Genomic DNA, 27737 nt, shown 5'->3' on the forward strand with positions numbered 1-27737 from the left:
CACCCTATCAGAATTCCTATCAGAATCTGGTTTTGTTTTTGTTTTAAGGCTTCCCAGATGAATGTAATGTGCAGCCAGGATTGCAAACTACTGCTCCATCTCAGTAGTTCTCAAACACTAGCCTGCGGCAGAATCCCCTGGGTGTTAGGTGCGTATCACAACACAGATTGCTGGATCACCTCCCCACACTGCCTGATTCAGTATGTCTGGCATAGGGACCAATAACGTGCATTTCTCCCAACTTCCCAGGTGCATTCGTTTGCAACGGCTGTGGTAACAAAGCATCATAAACTAAGTGGCTTACAACAGCAGAAATGTATTCTCCCATGGTTCTGGAAGCCAGAACTCTGAAATCAAGGTGTTGGCAAAGCCATGCTCTGGCAGCTAGTCCAGGGGAGAATCCTTCCTTGTGTCTTCCAGCTTCTGATGTTTGCCAGCAACCCTTGGAGCTCTTTGGCTTGCAGAAGCATCCACCACTCCAGTCCTCTGTCTTTACACGGCTGTCTCCGTGTGTGTCTTCACATTGTTTTCCTTGTCTGAACATCTGTCTCTGTGTCCTAATTTCTCATTTTTATAAGAACACCAATCATATTGGCTTAGGGCCCGTGCTCATGACCTCATTTTATCTTGTTTACCTCTACAAAGACTTCACTTTCAAATAAAGTCACATTCTGAGATATTAAGGGCTAAGACAATCAACATAAGCTTTTTGAGGGGACATAATTCAACTTACAACAGCAAGTGATACTGATGCTGCTGGTCTAGCAACCCCAGCTTGAGAACGACTGCCTTGTTGTGAGCTGCAAAAGTGCAAAGACAACATTCCTTTCTTTCAGTACATCCTACCCAGAGTGTAGCTTGGCGCTTGGCACATCGTATGTTTTAAGTAACTATAGGTTGAATTAATTAATATTCTTTCCACACAGCAATTTGGCCTGCATAAAAGACTTCGATATTTTCCTGATGTTGCCAGAGGCTTAATGTGTGACATTTCGTATAGCAAATGCTCAATAAATGTTGGGTGAGTGAACATAGCTGTCACTCCTCATTACATATTTTAAAAACAACCTTAGTGGGCCTTCATGCTTTTATTCCACCTTATGGAGCCCAATGACAGAATGCTGATTAAATGACATGGCTCCTTTAATGGGAAATTAACAATCTACAAAATGTTGTGGATTCAGTAATAGGCATTTGAGGCGCTGACTATGATGATTTGTTGCTTGCCTTGCCTTGATTCCCCAGTGAGAATTCATCTCTATTTAGCAAGTGCTGTGATCTACTCCAGTAAAGGAGATCTCTTTCTTTGAATCCCAGCAACCTCTAGCTTGGTCTTTAGCTTCATATATCACTGTTAATTTTCACCTAAGTCAGTGGTTCTCAACTGGGGGTGATTGTGCTCCTCAGGGGACAGACATTAGAGACATGTTTTGGTTGTCTGTCGTGAGAGCAGAGTGTATTCCCATTCCCCAGCTGGGACCAGCGGGTATGCTGCTCTCATCTAATGGACAGTGGCCAGGGGTGCTGCTGAACATCCTACAGTACATAACACAGTTCTCATCGCTACAGAGAATCTCTGGCCCCAAACGTCAGTAGTGCCAGCGTAGATAAACCCTGACCTAAGCAAAGACAAAATGGACATGAAGTTGCCTCAATGGGCAAGACCAAGACTTCTGAGCCACCCCATCAGTGACACTTGATGTAGCCGGTAGCAGGAGTGCCAGGGAGAACACAGCTTTGTTGTTCCATATCCAGCTGTTTGGATCAGAGGGAAATGGGATCTTTCAATCACTACTGCAGTATGAGAAAGTGAGCTGCACCCAGTGGTTACTAGGTGGGGTGCTCTGTGCAGTGTGCTTCGAGCACACCCTCTCACTGAATGTGAGATGATGCTCCCACTCGCAGTGTCTCTGAGGTGAGAACTATTACAGTCCCCACATTGCAGAAGAGGAGTCTCCAGCACTGAGACTGAGTAGTTCACCCAATGTCATATAGGGTGGAGTGTTAAAGTCCTAAATAAAACCCAGTCTATAGGACGATTGAGTCTGTGATTTTAATCCCTGTGTAGTCTGGGTTTACATTTCCATTCAGATTCCTGCTCCAACATTTCCTATAGATGCTCCTCAACTTACGATGGGTTTATGACCCGATAAACCCATCGTAAGTTGAAAATTATCATTAAGTCAAAAATGTATTTAATACACATAACCTGCTAAACGCCATAGCTTAGCCTACCCTACCTTAAACACACTGAGAACACTTCCAGTACAGTATTCAATAAATTACATGAGATGTTTAACACTTCGTTATAAAATAGGCATTATGTCAGATGATTCATCCCAACATCACAAGAGGATATGGCACCACATGTTGCTAACCCAGAAAAAGACTAGAATTCAAAATTTGAAATACAGTTTCTATTGAATGCATATCACTTTCATACTATTGTGAAGTCAAAAAATTATGAGTGAAATCATCGTAAGTCAGGGACTCTCTCTAGCTGCATTGTGTTGGGCAAGGGATTTAACCCTCACCGTCTTTGTTTCCTCATCTGCAAAATGAGGATTTATAACAGTTCAAAGGGTATCTACTAGGATTAAAAGATACAAAATACATCTAACAATGTCTGGCCACAGTATAAGCTCAATAAATGTTAGTTCTTCTCCCCGTTAGCCGTCATTACATTCACAGGTATTAAGAAAGAGAAATGTATAGGTATGATATGTAATTCTCTTAGTTAATGAGACTTTCCTTAAACTAACTAGAAGATTCCATTCACTGGAAACATACTTAATGATGAAGCTTTTATTCTGTTCATCTCCTTCAGGGAGTACTTAAAAATAACTCACAAGCCCATTGTTAGAGCTCATGTTCTTTACCCAACCAGGATTTAATTAGTCCTTCAGCTCCTTAGCCCTTCTTAGAAGTTGTTCGATGTTAAATCCCACATGACCCTTGGGTGGGAAGGTGTGGAAACCCTCCAAGCACCATCTGACATACCCAGTGACTAGGAAGACTTCACAGTAAGAGTTAAGGATTTTTAAAGATTGCCGATGTTAATGAAGAAGGAAAAAAAATAGTGGATGTGCTAAATTAGATATTTACAAATTATGTTCCTCTCTCCAGGGGAAGATTCATTAATTTTCACCGTAACCAGCTTCATTCTATTGGGACACCAGAGGAGGATTTGCAGATTACAGATCCAGCCACATCTTTCTCATGCTTAAAGAAGTCTCATTGTCTGCACTGTCCAGAGAGGGGAAAGTCCACTGCCTGGACAAGGCCTTCATGGCTGTTCACAACCTGCCCCAGCCTCCAGTCCATTACCCTTGCCTATTTTGTTGCAGTGATGGAATTAAAGTCCTTCTAATGAAAAAGGCTGTAGGTGAATTTTAATCCATTAGCCATCTACCAGACCTCCTCTGCCATCCTTTAGACTCTCCATACAGTTCCTCTCCCTGCCGTATCTTCTTGTGTGTCAATATTTATATCAAGCAAGCCCTCCTCATCTGCCCACCCTTTATCTGCCAGGCTAAGTCCAACTCCTACTTCAAGACCGCATTCAAATAATGCCTCCTGTCTGCAGCTTTCCTCAGCTTCCCCATGGAGAATTGATGGCTCCCTTTCTTTGAGCGTATTCATTCATTCATTCATTCATTCAATGACAACTATCTACCAGGAGCTGTTCTAAGCATTGGGGTGTGGAGGTGAACAAGAAAGCATAGAGCCATTGTTCTAGCTGGGGAACCAATATGAAGTAAAACATAAGCTAATACTTAAGTCCAGAAGTTCAGAAGTGATAAGTGCTCTGAGGAAAATATGGAGTGATGAGGAAGAGTGAAATTGGCAGAGTGAAGAGTGATATTTGATGAGGCAATCAGAAAGAGCCATTGTGAGGTGAGGTTTGGGCTAAAACCTGCATAATGAGAGGGAAGCATCCATCCTCCAAGTGTAGAGCGTGGGACGTCTTGGTAGATACCTCACCAGCTCTTCCCTTCTCAGAGGCTCTGAACTCCTGGAGGGTGGCACTCTTGGCATCCCCAGACTCTTGGCATCCCCAGTACTTTGTCCGGAATTCATGCATAGCAGCAGATAGCCACAGGTGATGGCTCAAGTGCCTTCATTTAATTTAACTTAAAATTTTATTTTCGGTTGTACCTGTTATGCATTTGTTAGCCATACTACTGGTTTTTTTTTTTTTTAATCAAAGAAGAAAATAGCTATTGCTTCTTTTTTTTTTCTCTGGGTTCAAGACGTTCTGGAAACAAAGTTTGAAAAATCCATTTAGGAAATGCAATTTAAGTGCCAGATAACATCTTGGGATTGGCGCCATGATCGATGAGGTCTGGGTATAACCAACGTCTTATGCCATGTCTCTGATCTTTACTCAAATTCACCTCCTATTCTGGGTAGCGAAGTTTGGGGAGACCCAGTGGTGTGGAGAGAGGGTTGTGTTTAGCTTCTCTTTCCCTGACCTCAGAGTAAACACCAGCCATCTGCATAACAGCAGTGCCCTTCCATAGTACTTATTAGGCTATTGTTACTCAGTTGATGTCAGTTGGTGCCACTAGACAGAGGGCACTGCAGCCCCATGGCCATGTCTGTCTTTCTGAAAGATTCAAGTGCCAGTCTCTTTGCATCTGGCACACAGTAGGTACTCTGAAAAGACTTGCAAAATGCAGAAATGAATGAATGAAGGCACAACAAAAACACGGACCGGAAGGGACACCTCCGGTCCTGAACAGCCTGGCTTCAACTTCAAGGACCACAGTTGGCTTGAATTTTAATCCATCAGGTCATCTCCATGTGTTCACTTTCTTCCATAAAGGTGAATGTGTCAAGCACTGTGCAAGCTGCCAGGAGAATGGTGGAGTATGATAACCATCTAGTGGGGGAGGCAAACTTGAATCGAATGATGGCACAAATAAGTGTGGAATTATAGAGTATGGTAAAAGCTAAGAAGGAAAGGCAAACAGGGCTTCAAGAGTACACAGCAGTGAGCCTGGACCCAGGGGGATGTGGGAAGCCCAGGAACCTGGATAAGTGGCTGTTGTTGTTTAATCTATTTTTTAGCTTTCATTTTAGTTTCAGAGGTACATGTGCAAATTTGTTACATAGGTAAACTCATGCCATGGGGGTTTGGTGTACAGATTATTTTGTCACCTGGGTACTAAGTATCCAATAGTTGTTTTTTTCTGATCTTCTTCTCCCACCATCTACCCTCAAGTAGGCCCTAGTGTGTGTTGTTCCCCTTTGTGTGTCCATGCTTTCTCATTATTTAGCTCCCACTTATAAGCGAGTACATGCAGTATTTGGTTTTCTGTTCCTGGGTTAGTTTGCTAAGGATAATGGCCTCCAGCTCCATCCATGTTCCTGCAAAGGACATGATCTTTCTTTTTTATGGCTGCATAGTATTCCATGGTATATACGTACCACATTTTCTTTATCCAGTCTACAGTTGATGGGCATTTAGTTTGCTTCCATGTCTTTGCTATAGTGAATAGTGCTGCAGTGAACATATGCGTGCATGGGTCTTTGTGGTAGAATGAAGTCACTGTTGAGCCTTGACCTCCAAGGCTGAAATAGATAAAGGAGTGAGGAGGGTGTTGTAGTGGGAAGCTGTGGCCTGCAGAAGCTATCCTGGGGCATCAGGAGCTGCTGGGGGAGGGAAATGGTATAAGACAGCAGACCAGGCAGACCAAGACTGGGTTCTGTAAGCTCTGCTAGGAATCTTCCTTGGTATCTGCAGAGCACAGGAAAGCTTTTGAGAGATTTCAGTGGGGAGATGATATATGCAGAGCTGAGTCTGGAATTATCACCTGGGCTGCTTGCTGCCAGATAGATTGGAGCAGGAAGGGGGGGATGGGAAGCTAGCCAAGAGCAGGTGTCCAGGTGGGAGAGAATGGTCACTTAAACCTAGTGGGGGTGCCAGGGTGGGGAGAGGTAGACAGATTGAGGTGATATTTAGGAGGCAAACTCAACAGGCCTTGGTGATGGCTTATTTAGCTCAGTGGTCCTAAACCAGGGACAGTTGTGTCTTCCAAGGAACACCTGGAAATATCCAGATATTTTTTGGTTGTTGCAACTGGCTGGGAGATTGGTGGGAAGGGGATGCTACTAGCATTTCATAGGTAAAAACTAAGGATGTGGCTAAATATCCTACAATGCAAAGGGCAGCCCCTCCCCCAACAGCAAAGCTTTATCTGGCCCCAGTGTCCGTAGCGCAGTGGTTGAGAAACCTGGCTTCAGATGTAGAAACATCAGAGATGCAGTGTCAGAGGTGATCTTTGGGTCTTGTCTTGCTAACAAGGTGAAAGGTCATGCCATTCTCTGAGATATTGGGACCCCGGATAGCCAGTTCTTTTACAAGGGGTATGTGGTGTCAATGGAGACCAGAAGATGGGTTCCTGAGGCATTTGGAGACATCCAAGTGAGGAGATGGCTTGTTTTCTTCCTAAATTTTCACCATCCCCCACAAGGCAGCCTTTTTTTTTCTCTGTTAATGAAGTTTCCAGCCACCTTACCCTTGATTCTCACCTTCCAACCCCCTGCCTTCCAATATTCCACCCCTCTTTTTTCTGCCCTAGAGGAGAAACCTATGATCCTTGCATTAGAATGGTTTTCCTGCCATCACTATTGCAAAATAGACAAGGGTAAAAGAAAGCCTTCAGTAGAATTTCATCTGAGTATTTTCTTTGCCCCCTTGTGTGTCATTTTCTCCTTAAGAAAACTGAGGAAGAAGTGTGATTTAGTCCCCTCATCTGCATAATTTTCTTCCCTGTGTGGCTGTGTGCTTGTCAGTGCTCTGACAGATCAAGAGTGCTCTGAAAGCTCAGAGGAGCAGGAAGAGACCCAGGTGACCTGGTGAGAGCCACGCTGAATCTCGGTTCACATGTCGTTAACGGAGCTTGGTCCTTGGAGGGCCTTGTGGGGAAGGACGCAGACAAGCTGTGATGGAGTCCTTGGGTCTCACCTGGGAGAGCCCACGGGAGCACCTGTGAGTTGGTTCCGAGAAAACATCCCACTCTCCAGGTCACCTCTCTGTGCTTCACCCCACCTCTCATTCTTCTTTTGTGCAAAGCACCTATTTGGAAGTAAAATATCAGCTAGAAAGGAAAGGAGTTTCAGAAGAAAGTACCACATCAGCGTTTTGAACAAATTAAGTTGTGTGCAAGCTGAGCAGCCTGTATCAAGGGGAACGTGGTAGAGGGATGTGAGCCTCAGGCTGCCTGCTGCCGGTTGCAGGCTGCCATATGCTTCACCTGCTTGTGCCCTCGAGGGTCCCCTTCTGGGGTCCCCAGTCTGGCTTATGATCATATTCCAGCATAGAGCACTCCCTAACCCCACTCCCGTAGCACTGGGACTATAGCTTTATTTCTTGCATCATTTTTCTCTACGCTCAAAAAAAAAAAAAAGCAAAAACAAACAAAAAAAATCTGCTCAGCATGAGAAATCAAGTTAATGAAAACGCTACCGCATTGAATTTCCAATAAGAGAAAGGCAAAGCAAAACTTGTCAACTAAAGAAAGGGGCATTCACTGTAATCCCTTCGAGGAGAGGTGGAAGCAGGAGTAATACAAAAGCTCATTACTGTAATCAAGGCATTTGTAACTGTTGGTGGCAGGAGGTGAAAGAGAGAGAGAGACAGAGAGGGGAAGACTCTGACGGAGGTTTTAACTGTATGCATGCCAGTCTTTCCCACTCGTCTTGCTGGTACAATCTGGATCGTTCATATAGAAAGGAGACAGGGTTTGCCAAACTTGGCTGACCAAGCCAAAAACACTAATTAGCAGCAGCTGCTCAAAATTGGGGATGCTCTTGCCTTCTAGTGCAGGGGTGATGACTTGTTCTGACTCTTCAAGATTCACAACCTTAGACTGCAGGATGCACTTTGCCAGGGGAAATGTATTCTCCAACGTGGCTGTGTGCATTGGTGCTCAAACATTGGTGAAGCCCCAAGTACTTGAGAGGGACAAACAAAACACCTGTGGAATCTCTTGGTCAGCTGGCCAGCAGGAGTTTGAAGCCAGGGTGAACTCAAAGCATTCTCCCAAAGAAGCCTTTTTCAACCAGGGGGCGCTGACAGAAGTTGTCAACACGTCTGGCAAAGCTTTCCAGCATCTGCTATGATGTCTTAATCCTCCTGTGAGGAGTGACAGAGGTAATGTGTGGCATGGAGCCATCAGTGACATTTGGTGATTGAATGTTGCTGGTGGCAGTGTCTTAATGATGGAGACAATTGATTGATAGGAGGTCAACTGCCAAGCAGTTAATCCGATGGCAAATTCCGCTCATAATGGAAGAGCTGGCCCATGCATGCAAACCAGCATGGTGGGGGATTCCTGCTGATGCAGCTGTGGGCACATGAGGAGGGGGAAAGATATCAATGCCTCTGATGAATGTCTAGCAAAGTTTTCCTTGTGAAACCTCATGGAAAGTTCCATGAGGCCAGAGATCACATCTACTTTGTTCACTGTTCTATCCTTTGTTGCTGACACATAGTGGCCATTCAGTAAACATCTGTTAAATCGAGGAAGCAGTGAATGAGTTGGAAGCTGCCTTCCTTAGGCTGTTTTACTTCCAGAATTCTACTTTTTCACTGACAGTAAGCCTAACCTCTCAGGTTAGAAATCTAAGTTGCCTTGCATTCCTCCCTCTCTCTTCCCCACCAAGCTCTGCATATTCCATCTCAGGAATAAATCTCTAACATTTCTCCCTTGTCTTCTTTCTCTGAAGCCAATTTGCATCTCCCAAGTAGTCTTCTGATGAGTAAGCCTACCCCCATCTCTGTTCCATGGCCCCCTTAAGTCATTTATATCTATCTATCTATCTATCTATCTATCTATCTATCTATCTTTGAGACAGCTTCTCACTCCATCATCCAGGCTGGTGTACAGTGGCATGATCTCAGCTCCCTGCAAACTCCGCCTCCCGGGTTCAAGTGATTCTCGTGTCTCAGCCTCCCAAGTAGCTGGGATCACAGGTGTACACCACCACACCTGGCTAATTTTTGTGTTTTTAGTAGAGACAAGGTTTCACCATGTTGAGCAGGTGACCCCAAGTGATCCACCTGCCTCGGCCTCCCATAGTGCTGGGATTACAGGCATGAGTCACCGCCCCTGGCTTAATTCTTTTAACATGTAAGTCTCATCATGTTACAACCCTGCTTTACATAGTCAAAGTCAACAAGTGTTATTTGGCCATAGATATCTCTTAGGCCATGACAACCCACCTCCTAGTACCTTCCCAGCCTTGGGTTAACTTCATGTCAGTGCTCACATTGGTGCTTCACTGTGTGCTGTGTCTTACGTTTCAAACACCCATTCTGCATCTTCTTGTTTCCTAATCTTTGCTCATGTATTCACTCAGGCTGGACATCCAAGCTTCTCTTTTTTTTCCTAGCAAAACACTGTCTTTGTTTAAGATGTGTCATCTGGGGACCTTTTTCTGATTCTTGTCCTCCCTTGGAGAAATAAATGCATCTCCCTTTCCTTTCTTCCATTTTTCATCACTTTGTACTTGAATTGTCAATTTGTCTACCCATCTCACCTGCTGGCCTATGAAGGTGTCAAGTCAGGGGCCATAACATCTTTTTCACTGTTCCTTCCAGCAACTAATATGGTTCCTGGCACATAATTACTTAATGTTAGTTGAAAGAAAAAATGGATGGATGAATGGATGGATGGATGGATGGGTAGATAAGTGGATAGGTGGATGGATGGGTTGGTTAGCGGGTTAATAAGTAATGGGTTAGATGCATGACAAAATGAATGGAATAAGTAATTGAATGGATTCATAAACTGATTCATTCCAGGGGAATACTAAGAAAATAGCAACTCCACCACCTCCCACCTTGGGATAAATGATATGGCCCTGTCCAGGGAAGGCTGAGTGCCCTTTGTCCTCAGACAGTGAATTCTGGAGTTCCAGGTACATGAGCATCAGGGTGTGATCTAGAAAGGAGCCTGTGGACCTAGTTGGGCGTATTCTCTTGGTCCTGGGGATTCTTTGTGCCATGGAGAAGAGCATAGTTTGAGGGAGGTCAGAATGGGAGGCCAGAACCCAGCTGCTTATGTCTAAAGCCATTATCTTACCAGGAAATGACTAAGACATATGGGAAAGGAAATGCCAATCTGGTAACTCCTGTAACTGTCAGTTCCAGTGGAGGATGCACCAATTGCTCGTGCTCACATGCTAAATCCTTTCTCCAGACATCACCCTGGCATGGCCCTCCGTCTCCTAGTCAGGCATTAACTAATAGGGGAAATGCAAAATGTTGATACCGCAGAATATAGAGACAGAAGAGATTCACACTGAAAGTGCAAATTACTTTTTTTGCAGTGAATAGAAAGTCACATTACTCTAAGAAGCTGCCTAATTATCTGTAATTATGCCCAAAATAGTCAAGCTAGTTTGCTAGCCAGTTGAAGAATTGCATCTTAAATGAATTTGTCACTAAAGAAAGAATGTTGAAACCTGGCAAAAGAGATTACTGCATTTCAGGGGAAAGATTAGAACATATCATGCCTGTGTTCAGTCTTTCAAAGACGTGGTTATTGGCTGGGCGCAGTGGCTCACACCTGTAATCCAGCTCTTTGGGAGGCCAAGGTCGGCAGATCACAAGGTCAGGAGTTCGAGACCAGCCTGACCAATATGGTGAAACCCTGTCTCTACTAAAATGACAAAAATTAGCCGGGAGTGGTGGCACGCACCTGTAATTCCAGTTATTCGGGAGGCTGAGGCAGGAGAATCACTTGAACCCAGGAGGCAGAGGTTGCAGTGAGCTGAGATCGCGTCACTGCACCGTAGCCTGGGCGACAGAGTGAGACTCCATCTCAAAAAAAAAAAAAAAAGTGACTGTGGTTATTGTAAACATTTTTGCTTAGGAAGCATTTATTACAGCTGTTCAATGTAGCATTTTACGGTATTCGGTGGAAACTCTAATGTAAGTTCGGAGCAGTCCTAACATTCCAAGAGTTAAAATTATCCATGATTGGGATGTAATATCTAAATTGAAATAAATAAACTGTTTTTATATGAAGGATTTTTTCCTGATTCAAATAAAGGAATCTAGTTTCATTGTAGGCAACACAGGAAATACAAAAGTTATAAAATTCACATCTGTAATCCCATCAACCAGAGAAAACTCTTAGTAACTAGTGGGTGTTTCTTGCTAGCTCTTTTCTATGCATATGTTTTTCTTATAACACTGGAATTTTAATATATACAACATTGTTTAGTTACATTCTTCCATGTAACTTTCATGAGCATTTTTATCTGCCCTGTAGGAATCAAAGTGATGGGTTTTTTTTGTTGTTGTTGTATTTTTTTCTCAGATGGAGTATCGCTCTGTCGCCCAGGCTGGAGTGCTGAGGCACGGTCTTGGCTCACTGCAACCTCTGCCTCTTGGGTTCAAGCCATTTTCCTGCATCAGCCTCCCAAGTAGTTGGGATTACAGGCACCCACCACCACACTTGGCTAATTTTTGTATTTTTAGTAGAGATGGGGTTTCATAATGTTGGCTAGGCTGGTCTTGAACTCCTGACCTCAGGTGATCCACCTGCCTTGGCCTCCCAAAGTGCTGGGATTACAGGCGTGAGCCACCACACCCAGCCCAAAGTCATGGTTTTTAAATGCCAACATAATATTCACCATTTTTACATACTGTTGTTTACTTAACCACCAATTTATTGTAGATAATTTTGTGTCTTTTATAGGTATTTATAAACGATTCTGCAGTGAACATTCTTGTACAGATATAATTGCCTGTGTCTCTGTCTGTTTTCTTAATAATGCCTAGGAATGGAATTACTAGGTCAAAAGGTATGATCATTTTAGGAGGTTATAGATTAGACCTCAATGTAGCAGTGCCATTTCTGTCTGTGAATCTTTCTTTCTAGATCTTTCTAAACCAGGGTATAGAAATAGAAGGTAAAATCCTCTTGGACAGAAAAGAAAAGAAGCAGTGAACACTTACTTAAAAAAAAAATAGGCAATGGAGGAGAGCCAAAATTTGAACTCCAGCCTGAAAATCACAGGATCCCTGGAGACAGGAATATGCACTGGCAGGCAACAGAAAGCCAAACAGAAATGAGATCGAAGAAGAGATAGGAAAACAAAACATTTCAAAGGAGGCATAGAAAGGAGCATATAATGGTGATGGAGGCAACGATAAGTAGGCAATGGAAAGTAGAGAAGAAAAATAGCAGCATGGCTGTGAAGGAAGGGAACACGAACTTCTGCAAAAGCTGTCAGAATCAAAATGAAGCCACTTATGTTAAAATTTTTTTTAATTAATAATCAATTTAAAACCCTGAAAAATGAGCTGAGGAGGGTTATGAAGAGGGGAGTCTCACACTTGGTTGCCTGATAACAAAAACTGTCACAAAAGACTGCAAAAACCACAACCTTGCACAAAGGCCATCACAACCTTACACACACACACGCACACACACAAATACTTCTGCAAGGACATCTGCCCAGCAACTGCCTGTCCAAGTACAGACTGATGTCACCCTTATTATTGATCTTTGTAGCCAGCAATAACTACTTCAAAGCCATTATGTAATCTTCCTCATTTTTTCCTTCAAAAACATTTGTCTTTCTTTACCTCCCTGCACACACATACAAAGTTACTGCAGCACATGTATTCCCATTGCAATGCCCTACTGCTGAATCTTTTTTTTTTTTTTTTTTTTAGAGAACCTCTCCCTCTTTGTTATTTAGGTTGATGCTTCCTGAGGCCACCCCTGTGCCACACAGACAGAACCCTGCGGGGCCAGAGGTGGAGGGTAGGAGCCATTGAGTGAAAAAGCAAGTCAACATCTACCAGCTTGCAGCCCCTCACTGACCATGTTGTATACAGAGAGAGCGAGCTACTTTGGTACTTCATCAACCAGACAGTTCAGCAGCTTGAAAGAGGGGAGATTTTTCCATGTTGCAGAGTGACAAGTTGATATACAATGTTTATGGAGACCATGGTTTGTACAGTGGTAAACTCAAGCACAGAAACAGGCATAGGGGTATCTTAGAACCTTGCTGCTCAAAGTACAGTCCATGGACCAGCAGCATTGAAAACACCTGGAAGATTTTTAGACTTTCAGAAACCAAGACCCTGCCTGCCCCAGGCCTGTGGAATCATAGTTTGCAGTTTAACTGATTCCCCAGGTGATTCATATACACATTAAAATTTGAGAAGTGCTGTCTTAAAAGACATCTTTTTATATGAATTTCAGACTTTGCTGGTGCTTGGATTTCCAGTGTTCACTGGAAAAGCCGAAAGATTTATGTGAGCACTTAGTTGACTGAATTGCATGTGATTTTAGAAGAGGGATTTCCAGATGTAAAGTTAAAACATGATGTGTGATACTTAGCATAAGTGGAGAAAACCAATTGATAAGCCCAAGGCTAAGTGGAACCATTCTGACTTTTTGAGAAACGCAATCTGTTTGGGGGATAGTTTCTAAAGTTCATCAGAAGAGGTGTCATTAAATCAGATTTTAAGCAGAATATAGCAGTTTGGCTAATGTTGGATAGTCTGTCTGCTCCCAATTCCAGAAAGTAAAATATTTTGCAATTGAGGATTGTAAACATCTTAGACAGTTGCAAGGACTGTACATGACATATCCATGCAAGAGTATTCCGTTCTGTTTCTATCAGCTTCTTATGCTTTTTCAATGGGAAATAGTTTTGGAATAATGGGCTCATTAGAGATAGACAAAGCTATGGCCTGGGGGAAGTAACACTGGTACCCAGAGGGTTTTAACTGTTTCACTCCCTTTCCCAGTGACTCAAACTATGCACCAGTATTAATTTTAAATGACTTTACAAAAAGACTTAATGAGATAAATCGTGTAGGCACAGTATAAAAGTTAGTCTTTCATGTTGTGTCTGCCTGCAGCAGCGTTCTAACTCAAACGTTAGGAGAGGCTTAGAGACAATTTGGGTCTAGCATCAAATCAGATAAACTATCATTTTTAATTATTGTTATTTTGATAAGGACTTCATAGTCTCTTAAGTAAGCCAGCCCTAAAAATCCTTGCTCATGTTTTTAAATGGTAAGGGAGATTCTGCAAAGATAGTATGAGGAAGCAGGAGGAGGAGGCAAATACTGGTTAAATGCCTTGTCTAAATCCACCACAGTCCTCAGCATCATCATGAACAAATTGCAGCAGTTATGCACCAAGCAGGATGCAAAGCAGGAAACACACATTCTCACATGCGGTGGTCAATCAGCCAAGTAAAGCCAAAGTTGTTGTTGTTCCCAGTTCAAAGATGAGGAAATTGAACCTCGGAGGGGTCAAATAACTCATCCCCAATCACAAAGCCATTAAGTGGTTCTGTCAGGATTTGAATCCATAGCCTAAGTTCATCACCACATTCTTCTCCTTGTCTCAGTTTCGGTATTTCTCACAAATCAAGGGACCTGGAGAGAAACAGAAACTATTTCCACAACATCAAGAATGTCACTTAGAATCAATATTGGCCTGGCTTCGATAACTTACCTAACAGAGAGGTAATCTTTTCATGGGGCACCCCACACTTCACGCCACACTTAGGCAAGAAGAAATGTTCACAGTCTCAGCTGATGCCAGGGAACTTTACAGCAAAGGAAACGTTGAAGCGCCTCCTGGGCTGTGTCCCTCCATCCCTGTGCCTCTGTCATCCTGTCTACAGATTCTCATGACAGCAATGACAACTCTCAACCGATTTTCTACATAAGGGGTCCCCGACCCCCAGGCCTGTAGGAACCAGGCCCCACAGCAGGAGAGGTGAGCAGTGGGTGAGCGAACGAAGCTTCATCTGTGTTTACAGGCACTCCCCATTGCTCCCATTACTTCCTGAGCTCCTCCTCCTGTCAGATGAGTGGCAGCATTAGAGTCTCATAGGAGTATGAACCTTATTGTCAACTGCATGTGAGGGATCTAGGTTGTACGCTAGTTATGAGAATCTAATGCCTGATAGTCTGTCACGTCTCCCATCACCCCCAGATGAGACCATCTAGTTGAAGGAAAACAAGCTCAGGACTCCCACAGATTCCACATTATGGCGAGTTGTATAATTATTTCATTATACATTAGAATGTAATAATAATAGAAATAAAGTGCACAATAAATGTAATGGGCTTGACTCATCCCAAAACCATCCCCACTCTGGTCCGTGGAAAAATTGCCTTCCACAAAACTGGTCCCTCATGCTGAAAAGGTTGGGGACTGATGTTCTATGTATATGATAGAACATGTTACTGACATGTTACATTATATGTACTATTCTGTGTTGAAGCAAACGAAGCTCTCTGTAAGCCTTTCGGAAATAGTACAGATACGGAAACAGGGGCATCTAAAAGTCGGCCATCAGGCACTCAGGGTGACATACTCTGCTTGCCCTTTGTTATAGGAAATGCCCTGGAGTTGAGTCTGGGAGGTACTGGGAGGTGTCTCAGCAGGAGATAAGCAGCGGGGACTTGCCGTCTTCCTAGATAGTACTGTTACTTGGTTGGTACCTTTCATCTCAATGCCCATTTGTGATACCAGTTTGACCCCAGTAGCACCCAATTTCAGACTTCCCCAGCCACCTGTGACTTAGAGTGAGTAGAGAGGCAATTAGGGCACATGCTTCGATCATTTTGAGTGACAGAGTCTTCCAGATAAAAACAATATAAAAGAGAGACTGCTAAGGGTCTCTGGGGTGAAGGGTCTATAGATCCGTCACTTCCACAGGGAAGATTGCTTTTCTTGGTTGTTTGCTGAGACCTGGGGGGCATTGAGCACTGGGAAATCAATGATTGTACAGCTTTATATAAAAAGGGCACCCAGCAATGCTCACACAGTCTACAGGGCTCATTTCTTCCTGAGGCAGAAGAGTTTTGCTACACTGACAAGAATCCTTCTGGCTGGACACAGTATGTCACCTGTTGTAGAGGGGCTAGAGTTTGAGACCATCACATTTGCTTTCTGCAAGCCCTGAAGATTTAAGAGTGAACCTACATTGTTTATTGGGATGTTCGCAGGTTGTAGTGGTAAGATTGGATCAGCGCGGTACCAGTTAGCAGAGAGGGATGATGTTTTTAAAGAGTCTTCCAGCAGCCACAAACATCTATGAAAGATACTTCCATCAAAAACAAAGCTTGAAGTCAAAAAAAATGGGGAATTTAAGAGCATCTAGATTTGTCTGTTATGTGCAACAACTTCTTACCTGACTGGTTGTGCCTTGGGTAGTATCACTGGTGCCTTATGCATGAATAATGTATGTATAATGTATGTGTCACTGCCTTAGAATAAGCAACGTGGACCACAGGTCTTGGGCACCTTAAATAATTTATATTTAAAATCTACATCTAGTCAGAGATGCATCTGCATCTACATGTAACATTTATGAATGCAAGTGGAACTTTTTTTCCCTTTTTTTTCAAAAGCTAAATTGCCTGTATTTGAGTGTTAGTGTTCCAATTAATTTAGTTGACATCATTTCAACTTTGTTGGAATACCTACTACTTACAGTAAGTTATGTGGGCCCTTGTTATGAATTAATGAGAGCAACAGAGAAATAACTTCAGGGAAAGGGTACATCTTTAAATAATTTACCCACGTGGGTAGGTAGGAAAACTGGATCTGTGGTCATGCGTAGTGTGCGGGTATCCGAAGCTGGGTGTCCACAGTCACATCGGGTCCTCTGTATCTGTGGCACAAGGGCAGACAGAGAGGTCAGTGTCCAACACCATGGAGGACCACAGGCTCACCTCCCTCAATGGGGTCAGCATCTCATAAATTAGTCATGCTGGAGCCCTCTCCAGGAGTTCCTGGTGGGAGCTAAAGGGAAGGTGAACTCCTTTCTTTTAAACACTGCTATCATGTTAAGATCCACTGCCAGGAACTAGGAGGGCAGAGTGAAGACAGAGAAATGCAAAGACTGTATTCTGAAAAGTTAAGGAAGCAGTTCTGTGGGTGAGGATAGTGAATAATAATGTTGTGAGTTGTTTTGATGAGCCAGGCAATGTGTTGATCACTTCACATGTAGTATGGTCTTTAATTTTTATTTGAAAAACTGAAGGCCAGACATGGTGGTTCACACCTGTAATCCCAACACTTTGGGAGGCCGAGGCAGGTGGATCACCTGAGGTTGTGAGTTCAAGAGCAGCCTGAGCAACATGGAGAAACCCTGTCTCTACTAAAAATATGAAATTAGCTGGGCATGGTGGCGTGTACCTATAATCCCAGCTACTCTGGAGGCTGAGGTGGGAGAATCACTTGAACCTGGGAGACAGAGGTTGTGGTGAGCCAAGATCATGTCATTGCACTCCAGCTTGGGCAACAAGAGCGAAACTGTATAAAAAGAAAGAGAGAGAGAGAGAGAAAAGAAGGAAGGAAGGAAGGAAAGAAAGAGAAAGAAAAAGAGAGAGAGGGAGGGAGGGAGCGAGGGAAGGAAAAATTGAAAACCCTGAGGTAGGCACCTTAATTCTACCCATTTTTCACCTTAATTCTAACCACTTTCCAGATAACAAGCACAGAGTGGCCAAGCAACTTTCTTACTGTCACAAAGAACAGGGATTGGAAGCCAAGAAGCCGAAGGCACCACAGCGTCTTTTTGAAACTTGGTGCTTTCGTGCCTGCCCAAATTCTCTGATTAAGAAAGAATTAGTTTCCTAATTCTTTTATTTTTAAAATAAAAATAAAAGATTAAATCAGATCAAACAGTTGGCCAATATACATGTTGGTTATTCACACGATGGAGGCCTCATTGCCTGATACATCCCATACTGACAGTAGCAGATTTGGAACTCATGAAACCCTCATCGCTTCAACTTCCTGCAACACCCCAGCTCCTTCTAATAGAACCCAGTGTCTCCTTAATTCTTTATGTGATGAATACGTATTGAGTAGCTACTCTGTGTTAGTCCCTGGACAAGAGCAGAGCAAAGGCAAGAACGAGATAGGAGAGGTCTCCCTCTCACAGAGTTTGGAATATAGTAGACATATTCATAGTTCTGACTGGGCAAAATTCTTCTCTCTTACTTTTATCCATAGTTTCCAGCTCTGAAACCTAATGCTACAAAGATAAAAGTTGCATTTGATAGATAATGCAATGGAACACTACTCAGCCTTTAAAAAGGAGAAAATCCTGCCATTTGCAACATCATGGATGAACCTGGAGGATGTTATGCTAAGTGAAATAAGGCAGACTCAAAAGGACAAATATTGCACGTTACCACATATGCAGTGAATCTAAAATGGTCAAACTCATGGAAGCTGCATGGGAAAATGGTTGCAGGGGCTTGGGGGAGGGGATTGGTGTGGTATTAGACAACAGTACAAAGTTTCATTTATACAAGATGAGCAACTCCTAAAGACCTACTATTTAGAGTTTCACTTAACATTGTTTCTCTGTAATGTTGATGAGAAAACAAAAATGGTCATTGGTCCCTGGGCCTCCCTGCTGTGTGCTCTGCCGTTGATGTTACTTAGCTTCTTTCTCTGTATTGACATCTTTTTGCCTTGCTACCTAGTTACTAAGTCTCTCCAAGTTTCTATTCCAAATTCCCAAGAGATCACAATGATTGACGCAACCTTAATCATATGAGTTGGTTCCCCTTTGGGGTATGCCCACCTCTGGCCCAGTAAGCCATGGTGCTGTGGCAAGGACAAGTGTACCATAAGGTTGGCCCCCCCCCCGCCCCAGGGGCTGAGGGTTGGGCAGATTAACCTGGAAGGGAAAGGGTATGTCTAGCAAATTAGAACAAGTAAGAAGTATGATCACCTGTAAGTTCATGCTACATTTTCTGGAGGTTTTTCTTAATTATTTAATTCTCCTCTCAGACCTTCTGTGACTCCCAAACCAATAAACCATTTTTGTTTGGATGTTGTTCTTTTCTTCCCTTGAAAAATACTCATTCAGGTTCTTCTCTCATTCCTTCAAAAGAGACTTCAGGCCGGGCGCAGTGGCTCACACATATAATCCCAGCACTTTGGGAGGCTGAGGTGGGCAGTTCACCTGAGGTTGGGAGTTTGAGACCAGCCTGACCAACATGGAGAAATCCCATCTCTACTAAAAAAAAAAAATTAGCCAGGTGTGGTGACGCATGGGAGGCTGAGGCAGGAGAATTATTTGAACCTGAGAGGCGGAGGTTGTGGTGAGCTGAGATTGTGCCATTGCACTTCAGCCTGAGCAACAAGAGGGAAACACCATCTCAAAAAAAAAAAAAAAAAAAACTTCAAGCAAGGGAGGCTATGCTATCAAAGTATATTTTCCTCCTCTTCTGCAAGGGGTCTACATTTAAGTCAATAGTAGCACAATATAAGAAGAAAGACTATTACCAGCTAACATTTATTGAGTATTTACTAGGCTATCAGCACTGGTCTAAGCACTTTACAGGTTAAATTCATGTATTTTCTACAATGATCTTAAGCAGAATTTCCTTCATTTTCTTATTTCCAAAATTATACTACCTAATATAGAAGGTGATGATGAATTTTGAGAGATAATGTACCTGAATTTCTTATTGTTCATGGTATATGCGGAATAAATTGTGCCTGCTGATTGCTGTAGTGGTATCATCAACTACAACATTGTTCCACAGCTGAGTGGCATCACTGTTTTGTAGTTCCTTAAAAGAGACCACTGCTCTGAATCTGACTAAACTGAAGACAGAGCACCAAAATCAAATGGGGATTCAGATGTCCAAAGGATGGGAGGTGAATGATAAAAATGGTTAGAGTCACAAATTGGAATCCAGTGGAGCGATAGTGCCGCAGAGTCAAGATCCTAGAGAGCAGAATTCTGAGAAACCCATGTCCAGAGAATGTGGTCAGGACCTTGGAGAGCTCATGGTGATGTCCAAGTGTCTTCCACAGTTTAGATCTCAGACTAGTGCAAAAGTCTGCATGGGGCTCCAGCCTTGTAAGGGTCTCATCTTGTTTTATTTGGAGGCTCTGACATAGTGGAACTCTGGGTGCCAAAGGGATAGTTCAGAACAGGAATCTTCTGACCTGGATAGGGCAATCAAATTCTTGATTGTGTTAGTGCATCAGGATCCTTGTCAGATAATAAGAACTTTTCATCTTCCTGTGTCAGCAGAGTTCAGCTCTACTACCAGAATAGAAAAAAAAATTGCAAAGTATATAGCAAAAAATTAGCAAACAGCACCAACTTCTTTTCTTATGTAACCCACAGTGAACAAGAGGCAATTGTCTCAATCGGATTCAGGAACAACACTGGGTTACATTTGGATTCTATGTATTTTTAGATGTTTAATTTCTATTTGCCTATTTCATGAAAGATTGGTAATCACACATAAATCTGCATGAGTAAGAAGAGACCCATGAAAATAAATAGTCCTACAGATGTAAGATTTGAGATAAAACATATCTTAAGTGAATAGATTGTCTTTGTTCTTCATGAACCTTCAACCTTCATGCCACATAGGTTTGGTGAAGAACGTTTTTGATGTCTGTTACCCACATGGAGGGTTTCTGCCTGTCTATTTTGGGTAGAAGATACTTAGAACAAAAGTCGTCTTGAAGGGAGGAGAATATCAAGAAATAAATCATGTCTGTGTTCCTATAAAACTAATAACAAACTTGGTAAACATGCATCTGAAAAATAACTAGAAGTGCTATTCTACTGTTACTATAAAGGACCCTGAGTACTGTAGATTTGGTTAAACTGTGGGTAGCCAAGAGGGACGAGGACCTGGATTTTGTCCTGAGCTTTTGGCAGGCTGGTAGAGGGACAAGTCCCCTTTGGATAAGTCCCCTTTTCTCTCTGGGTGTGTCTCCTCATCTGTAGTAGAAGGACCATTGGATTAGCTGGTCTACAAGATTCCTTTCATGATCAGAAGTACAGAGTAAGTATATGAATGATGCGTGAATTAATGAACAAACTTCTCCCTGTTGCGACATTCCAGGAATAGCCCATGGACTTGCAAAGAGAGGCAAAAAATGGCATCTACCAGCTGCTTCCTCTTCTTAGGAGTCTCCAACAGAGCCTAATAACATGGGGAAGCATTACTAAATTATGACTTTGTGCAAGATTATTAACTCGGAGTGAATGGCTATTCTTTTTGGAGATTTTAAGCAGTCATGGAACCAGGATGGACTCCTGAGATGGACAACTGCATTTATTCACTTCAAACACAACATGATAAAAATGTTTTTGAAGCTGTAATTTTACATCCTGAAAAAAGGTTAAATTTAAGGCAATGTACAAAGACAAAGAATGACTTTGAGCAAATGCATTAATTTGGTTTGAGATGTTCAGAATTTAATGTTGACTAAATTGGTTAATCTGAAGTCTTTTGGGAGTGGTGACAGTTATCCTGTCCTTACTGTAATCAATGTGCTTGATTTGGTGGAAATTTTACATATAGCCTTACGAATCCTTTTGACTGAAGTGCAAGTTTCCTCTAGAAACGACCAGTTTTAGGAGGGCGTGTGTGTATGTGTGTGTTTGTGTAAGAACACATACTGGACAAGACTTCTTGAAAAACAGACTCAGTAGTGTCAAGCAGCATATAACTCTCCCCAAACCAAAGCCTCCTGCCCTATTTTCTGCCTTTCCTCTGCTCCCTGGCAGAGCTGACCTACCATCTCTCTCGGTAACTTGGCACCACTACTATCCAGAAACTGAAGTGGGATGGGTCGTTTTGTTTATTCCGTGAAGTTACTGTGAGTGCACATCCTGGAATCTGAGAGATCCAGATCTGAATCTCAGTCTCTTGTGTCTTCACAGCCTGCCTGTATGACTGGGATAAACAACCTTAACCATTAGTTTCTTCATCTGCAAAATGGGGATGTAGTACCTTCCTCACAGAGCAATTATGAGACTAAATGAGGTCAAATACGTGAAATGATTAGCACCTTGCCTGGTGTTTTGCAAGTAAGTGTTCAACATCTGAGAGGCACTACTAGTATCAGTAGTACTGTTGGTATTTATCAGGTGCCTTCTGTGTACCAGGTACCAGGTGAATCCCCAGAGATGAAAATTGGACCGAGTCTGTATTTTCAAGTAGCTCAAAATCTAGCAAGAAAAAATGGCAGGCAAGCAAGTAATCAGGGAACAATTGGGTAAGTGAGGTGACAATAAGGCATTAACATAAACCCAGACAAGGGGCAGTAAGGAGGGGAGGGGCTGCTTCTTGAAAAAGGTGACATATGGGATGACTCTTTTTTTTTTTTTTTTTGTTTTTGTTTTGAGATGGAGTCTCACTCTGTCACCCAGGCTGGAGTGCAATGGCACAATCTCAGCTCACTGCAACCTCTGCCTCCCGGGTTCAAGTGATTCTCCTGCCTCAGTCTGCTGAGTAGCTGGTATTACAGGCATCTGCCACCACACCCAGCTAATTTTTCTATTTTTAGTAGAGATGGGGTTTCACCATGTTGGCCAGGCTGGTCTCAAACTCCTGACCTCAGGTGATCCACCTCCCTCGGCCTCCCAAAGTGCTGAGATTATAGGCATGAGCCATTGCACCCAGCAGGGATGAATCTTAAACCAAGTGACAAAAAGGTAAGAATAATGACTGATACATTCAGGGATCAGGGATAGTCTGTGCAGAGGCCAGAGAGAAGAGTATGGAGGTTGGAGAAAGGCAGCCCTCCTCTGCCCTGGCTCCAGAGACCCCATGTCTGCCACAGCACAATTGTCTGAGTCCTGCAGTAAATGCTGTAAACTGTTGTTGTTGGTTTTGTTGTTGTTGTTGTTGTTTTGTTTGTTTGTTTGTTGTTTTCAGTTAGAAGCAGTGTCATTCATACAAATGAAATACCAAACAGGACCCCCATGGCAGAGGCAACTTCTCATTTTATCTCTTGCTCCTCAGCGCTTTTGAGTCTCTCCCTGCATCACTTCCCTGCCCTACACCTGCCAGGTCTGTGGGTCCTCTTTCATGTTTGTAGTTCTCCAATACTCTTCAGGCCCAGTGATCCTTTTCAGACTCTTGTCCTCTAGAAAAGCAATTCAGATCTCGCCCAAGGCTTACTTCTCGGTTTCTGGCTATAATTGCCCTCATAGTACCCTGACCCCAGACTCCTACTGGATGCCATCCGAAAGAGTTCTCGAAGCCCTCATCTGCGCTATAGGCACAGACCACTCTCCCCAGCCCTGACAACCCTGACCTCACATGCCCTTGGGATTTCCGTTCCTCTTCCACTGTTCTTTTTTTTTTTTTTTCTTAGTTGCAGAGTTTTTCGGAAGGACTGATTACCGAGTCTCTTCTTTCCCCAAGAGTACTTCTTTGTCACAAATGATTCCACTCCTTGAGGACATTTGGTGACATTTAATTCATCTCCTGTTCTCTGCTTGGATGAATTCTGGGAACTCCCTGAGAGGAAGGACAAGGCAGTGGAACATCTGAGCAATGCGATCTTTATGTGGTGGGTGAAGGTGATGGATTTTCATCTCCTTCTTCACGTTTTTTCCTGCTGCATGGGGACCTCTGGGCATTCTCCTTTCTCTTCCTTGCTTTTAACTGATTTATTCTTTTCAGGCTTATGACTTTTCTTTTGTGATAACTGATTTATTATTTTCTGATAAGTTATTCTTTTGTGATAACTGATTTATTCTTTTCTGGCTTCTGACTTTTCTTTTGTGATAACTGATTTATTATTTTCTGATAACTTATTCTTTTGTGATAACTGATTTATTCTTTTCTGGCTTATGACTTTTCTTTTGTGATACCAGTTTGTAAATGTGTAACTTGTCTGATCTTTCTTCTTTCAGCACCCACCTCTCATGCTATAGCGTTTGCACTCCATTGCATATTGTTTAAGACTGGGACTCATTTGAGTTGTAACGCAGGTGTGAGAAGCTTTGCAAGGCTACAGAACTGTGTTCATCCGTCTCTTGACTTGGACTATGGAAGTTGCCACCTGCTCAGATGCCCTGAATGGTATGTTGGGCTCTAAATTGGCCTGACAGTACCACAGTCCTCTTCCAATTTCTTGGGGATGTCCAGGCATTGGATAATGGCAGCCCAGTTGCTTCTGCTTGCAGTGGAAGGAAGGGTTGGCATCGTTCCCCAGCACCCACCATTTGCTGGGAAGGAAGGACTGTTCTTCCCTTTCTTTAACTTGCACCTCAATGCATAAAGAATATCTGCCCTTTCCCCAACATGGGGCAGGGGTGGCCTGCTGGAATGGGAGTTCCAGCTTCTTTCTCAATCCCTTATTCACTCCTGTCATAGGAAGACAAGTTGCTAAATGACTGTGGGAAACCGAAACACCCTTCCAGCCACATATACTGTTAGATAAGGTTCCTGGCTCTCAAAGGCAGAGCCCCACCTCCATTCTCCATTCTCCCTCTTCCACTCTCTCCATCCAGGTGCAGCAAGCCGTTTTGTGCTTCCTGTTCCCTGGACCCGCCCAAGCCCTGAGCAGGCATGGGTTTACCCTCCTTGTACCATCTAATGAGGCCGGGCAGAGCATCAGATGGGAGGTTCTGGTCACTCTCAGGCAAAGCCCTGCTCTCCAGCTCACTTTATGACAGCACTCTGCCTTCAGGGTTGTCATCACCTGTTCAGATAATAATCTAGCTCATCATTTTTCATCTGCCTGGTGTTCTTTGCGTGTTGCTTCCAGAGGCAGAATCCCAGAGAAGAGAGGGAACTGTCAGCTCCTAAGAATCACTCCTCCAGAAAAGCTCAGCAACCAAGAGGAAAAAAAAGAAGAAACACAGTGAAAGAGGAATGCTTTCCTTATTCCCACCCTCATCCCTCACCTATTCTTTCTCTACTTCCTCACGTTCCCTCCATCCCTGGGAGATTTACCATCTGCCATTCCCTGTGTGTCATACAGTTCTAGGCTCTGTGCTTCTGTCCTGCCTGTGCCTGAAATTCCTTACAATTTTCCCCATTTGCCATCCAGCCAACCCCTGCTTATTCAAAACTCAGATTCAGCCTCCCTTCTTCCAGGAGATCCTTGACTCCCCAGCCAGGCTTAGCTGCCACTCTTCTGGGCTTTCCCAGTGCCCAGTCATGGCTCTCATCAGTGTATTCTCTAAAACCATTGACTTCTTCGCCTTCCCTAGCAATCTGTGAGTCTGTAGAAGAAAAGGCCATATCAATCTAACTTTGTATTCCTGGTTCTTGGCACATAGTGGGTGAACTCACACAGACTAGAGATAAATCAGAGATGAATGAGTGCCCCCTTGAGTCCAGGGCGTACCTGTAAAATTGCAAATATCTGCATGTACGAGTTGCAGGCAGGGAAACTGAGTCACAAGAAGAGTTGCTTGCATAAGACTTCGCTAGTAAATGGCAGAGCTGGTGCATGTGAAAATTTCTAAGGCAGAAATATGTACTTATTTAAAAATTTTTTAAAAAGCAAGAAATTGTCTAGACAAGTTTTTTCTTTGTTCGTCTGTTGTTTTTTGTTTTTGTTTTTGTTTTGAGACAGAGTCTCACTCTGTTGCCCAGGCTGGAGTGCAGTGGTGCGATCTGGGCTCGCTGCAAGCTCTGCCTCCTGGGTTCACGCTATTCTCCTGTCTCAGCCTCCTGAATAGCTGGCACTACAGGCGCCCGCCACCACGCCCGGCTAATTTTTTGTATTTTTAGTAGAGATGGGGTTTCACTGTGTTAGCCAGGATGGTCTCAATCTCCTGACCTCGTGATCCACCTGCCTCGGCCTCCCAAAGTGCTGGGATTACAGGCATGAGCCACCACGCCCGGCCTAGACACAAGTTTTAACCCTGTAAATTCTGTTGCCTCTAACTGCAACCAAAGCCCCAATTCATCGCATTCTGCAGAGTGCTGCCCACATTCACTTGGGGAATCAGCAGCATGTACACCTCATTACTTCACCTCCAAACCCAGCTCACAAGCAGGCAGGATGCGCACCAACTGTCCGGTTAGCAGAGCTTCCCATTTAAATCAAATTCTCTTCTCCTCCCAAGCTCATTTCAAAGGCATTCATTGGTCTGAATACATGTGCTGGTGGAACGAAATGACACTCACCCCAAAACAAAAGGAAAAAAAAAAGCTGATCTGATGTAAAATCTGTCTGCATTTCAGAGCTGTCGAGATGAAAAATGAAGCCACGAGTTTGGCCTTTAAAAATATTAATTTCTTATAAAGATGAACTGGAGAGTGGTAACTAGAAAATTCCCTTATCTCCTAGGAAGAAAACACAGGATGAAATTCTGGTCCTTCTTCTTGAGTCTTGTATGTCATTTCCAAATTCAACGATTACTTGTTCACGGTTCATTTATGAGGTTTCTGAGCATAATGAATGTCCGCACATGTCACTGAGTTATTGATGAATCATTGTTTCTATTCTGAGCTCAGTTCACGTAGTTCAATGTGCTTTGGCTTGGCTGTCACTTTAGGAGATGATAGTTAACCCAACGGAGTAAATCTGGCCAGTTCCCGAGTGGGGGCAGGGGGTTGGGCTCAACTAAGGGCACCAACAATAAATGCCTCCTTGCTGGTAGATGGGAAGGACTGAGAAGACAGAGGGGAAATTGCTTGCATTCTGCTAACATCTGCAACGTCTGTAACAGTGTCTTTTCCAGCAGTTGTAAAGGATCCTCACTCTCCCTTTCCTCCCTCAGTCCCAGTTCCTCCTCCAGAGCTCCTCGTGATCATCTCCCAAAGCCACTCACTTGCTGTTCTGTCCTTTGAGGCCTCTGTCCACTTCCAGCTCCTGCCTCTCTTTCCTGGACCATTGCAGAGTCTCAGAACTGCCTCTCTGCTCCCACTTCCATCCATTCTCTCACTGCCTCCAGAACATTCTCCTTTTCTGAAACACTCTCCTCTGCTTGAAAGTACTGAAGGCTTCATCTTGCCTAGTGCAGCAATTCCACATTCCTTATAATCTAGTCCCAAACCACTGTCTGGCCTCCTCTCCTTTCCCTCCTTCTGAACACCCTAGATTCCTGCCAAATATAATGTTATTCCACAAACCTATGAGGACCTTGCCTGCCCTCTGTGCTTTGCACATGCTCTTCCTCCAGCCTTTGCACTCTTTCCTTCCCTCGTCCACCTGGGAGACTCCTGCTGATCTTTTCAGACTCAGCTTAAATGTCCCCACCAAACCTCCCCTCCCTCTCCCCATTGGAACCAGCTCCACACTGCACTCCACCATGTTGGCATGTACAGTACATGTGGCTACCAGTTGATTGACAGATTGTCCCTGTAAGCCAGTCTGCTCAGGGCTATCTCTGACAAAATAGTGTGTTCCCCTTCCTTGGGGAGTAACTTTAGACAATTTGCAGTGGATACTGGGCTGCAGCCTTGATGCTGTTTTTTCTCTGGAAACTATGCTTGAAATATATTTGAATGAATAAAATAATACATCTAGTAAAAATACATTTTTCTATTTTTTTCTAAAAGTATCTTACACATTTTCCATCAGGCTCAATTGTGAAATCCCTCCAGATTCCTAATTATCTTCTTCCCAAGATAACAAGATTTCTGTCCTCTCTTCACAAAGACATAGGACATGGACTCAGAGACGTCCAGGCATCTAACTCTCTGCCTGTCTGTCTCTCTGGGGAAGCCAATGGTTTTTTTGTTTTTGTTTTGTTTTGTTTGAGATGGAGTCTCACTCTGTCTCCCAGGCTGGAGTGCAGTGGTACAATCTCCGCTCACTGCAACCTCTGCCTCCCGGGTTCAAGTGATTCTCCTGCCTCAGCCTTCCGAGTAGCTGGGACTACAGGTGCACGCCACCATGCCAGGCTAATTTTTGTATTTTTAATAGAGACAGGGTTTCACCATATTGGCCAGGTTGGTCTCGAACTCCTGACCTCGTGATCTT

The 27737-nt window shown here is 43.4% G+C and overlaps 1 protein-coding gene across 6 annotated transcripts in view, besides 1 other annotated feature; it reads left to right on the top strand.

Moving 5' to 3' along the window:
• Nucleotides 1-27737, top strand: part of CDH13 (cadherin 13) — a 1173672-nt gene that overhangs the window by 915273 nt on the left and 230662 nt on the right. Inside the window, exon 9 of one of the 6 annotated variants that reach the window (XM_017022848.3) lies at nt 3127-3460. The exons of the other annotated variants lie outside the window; for them this stretch is intronic. Coding sequence (XP_016878337.1) covers nt 3127-3141 — 15 coding nt within the window. The 3' untranslated portion in view covers nt 3142-3460. Of the gene's footprint in view, nt 1-3126; nt 3461-27737 lie in introns of those variants that run through there. 6 annotated transcript variants of the gene reach the window in all.
• Nucleotides 4241-4801: an enhancer, noted in NCBI's record as "NANOG hESC enhancer chr16:83580087-83580647 (GRCh37/hg19 assembly coordinates)". NCBI's record gives its function as "activates a minimal SCP1, AML or CMV promoter by ChIP-STARR-seq in naive H9 embryonic stem cells {active_cell/tissue: H9 hESC(naive)}" and the evidence as "EXISTENCE:reporter gene assay evidence [ECO:0000049][PMID:30033119]".

This window comes from Homo sapiens, chromosome 16 (genome assembly GCF_000001405.40).
Source record: "Homo sapiens chromosome 16, GRCh38.p14 Primary Assembly".
Taxonomy (NCBI): Eukaryota; Metazoa; Chordata; class Mammalia; order Primates; family Hominidae; genus Homo; species Homo sapiens.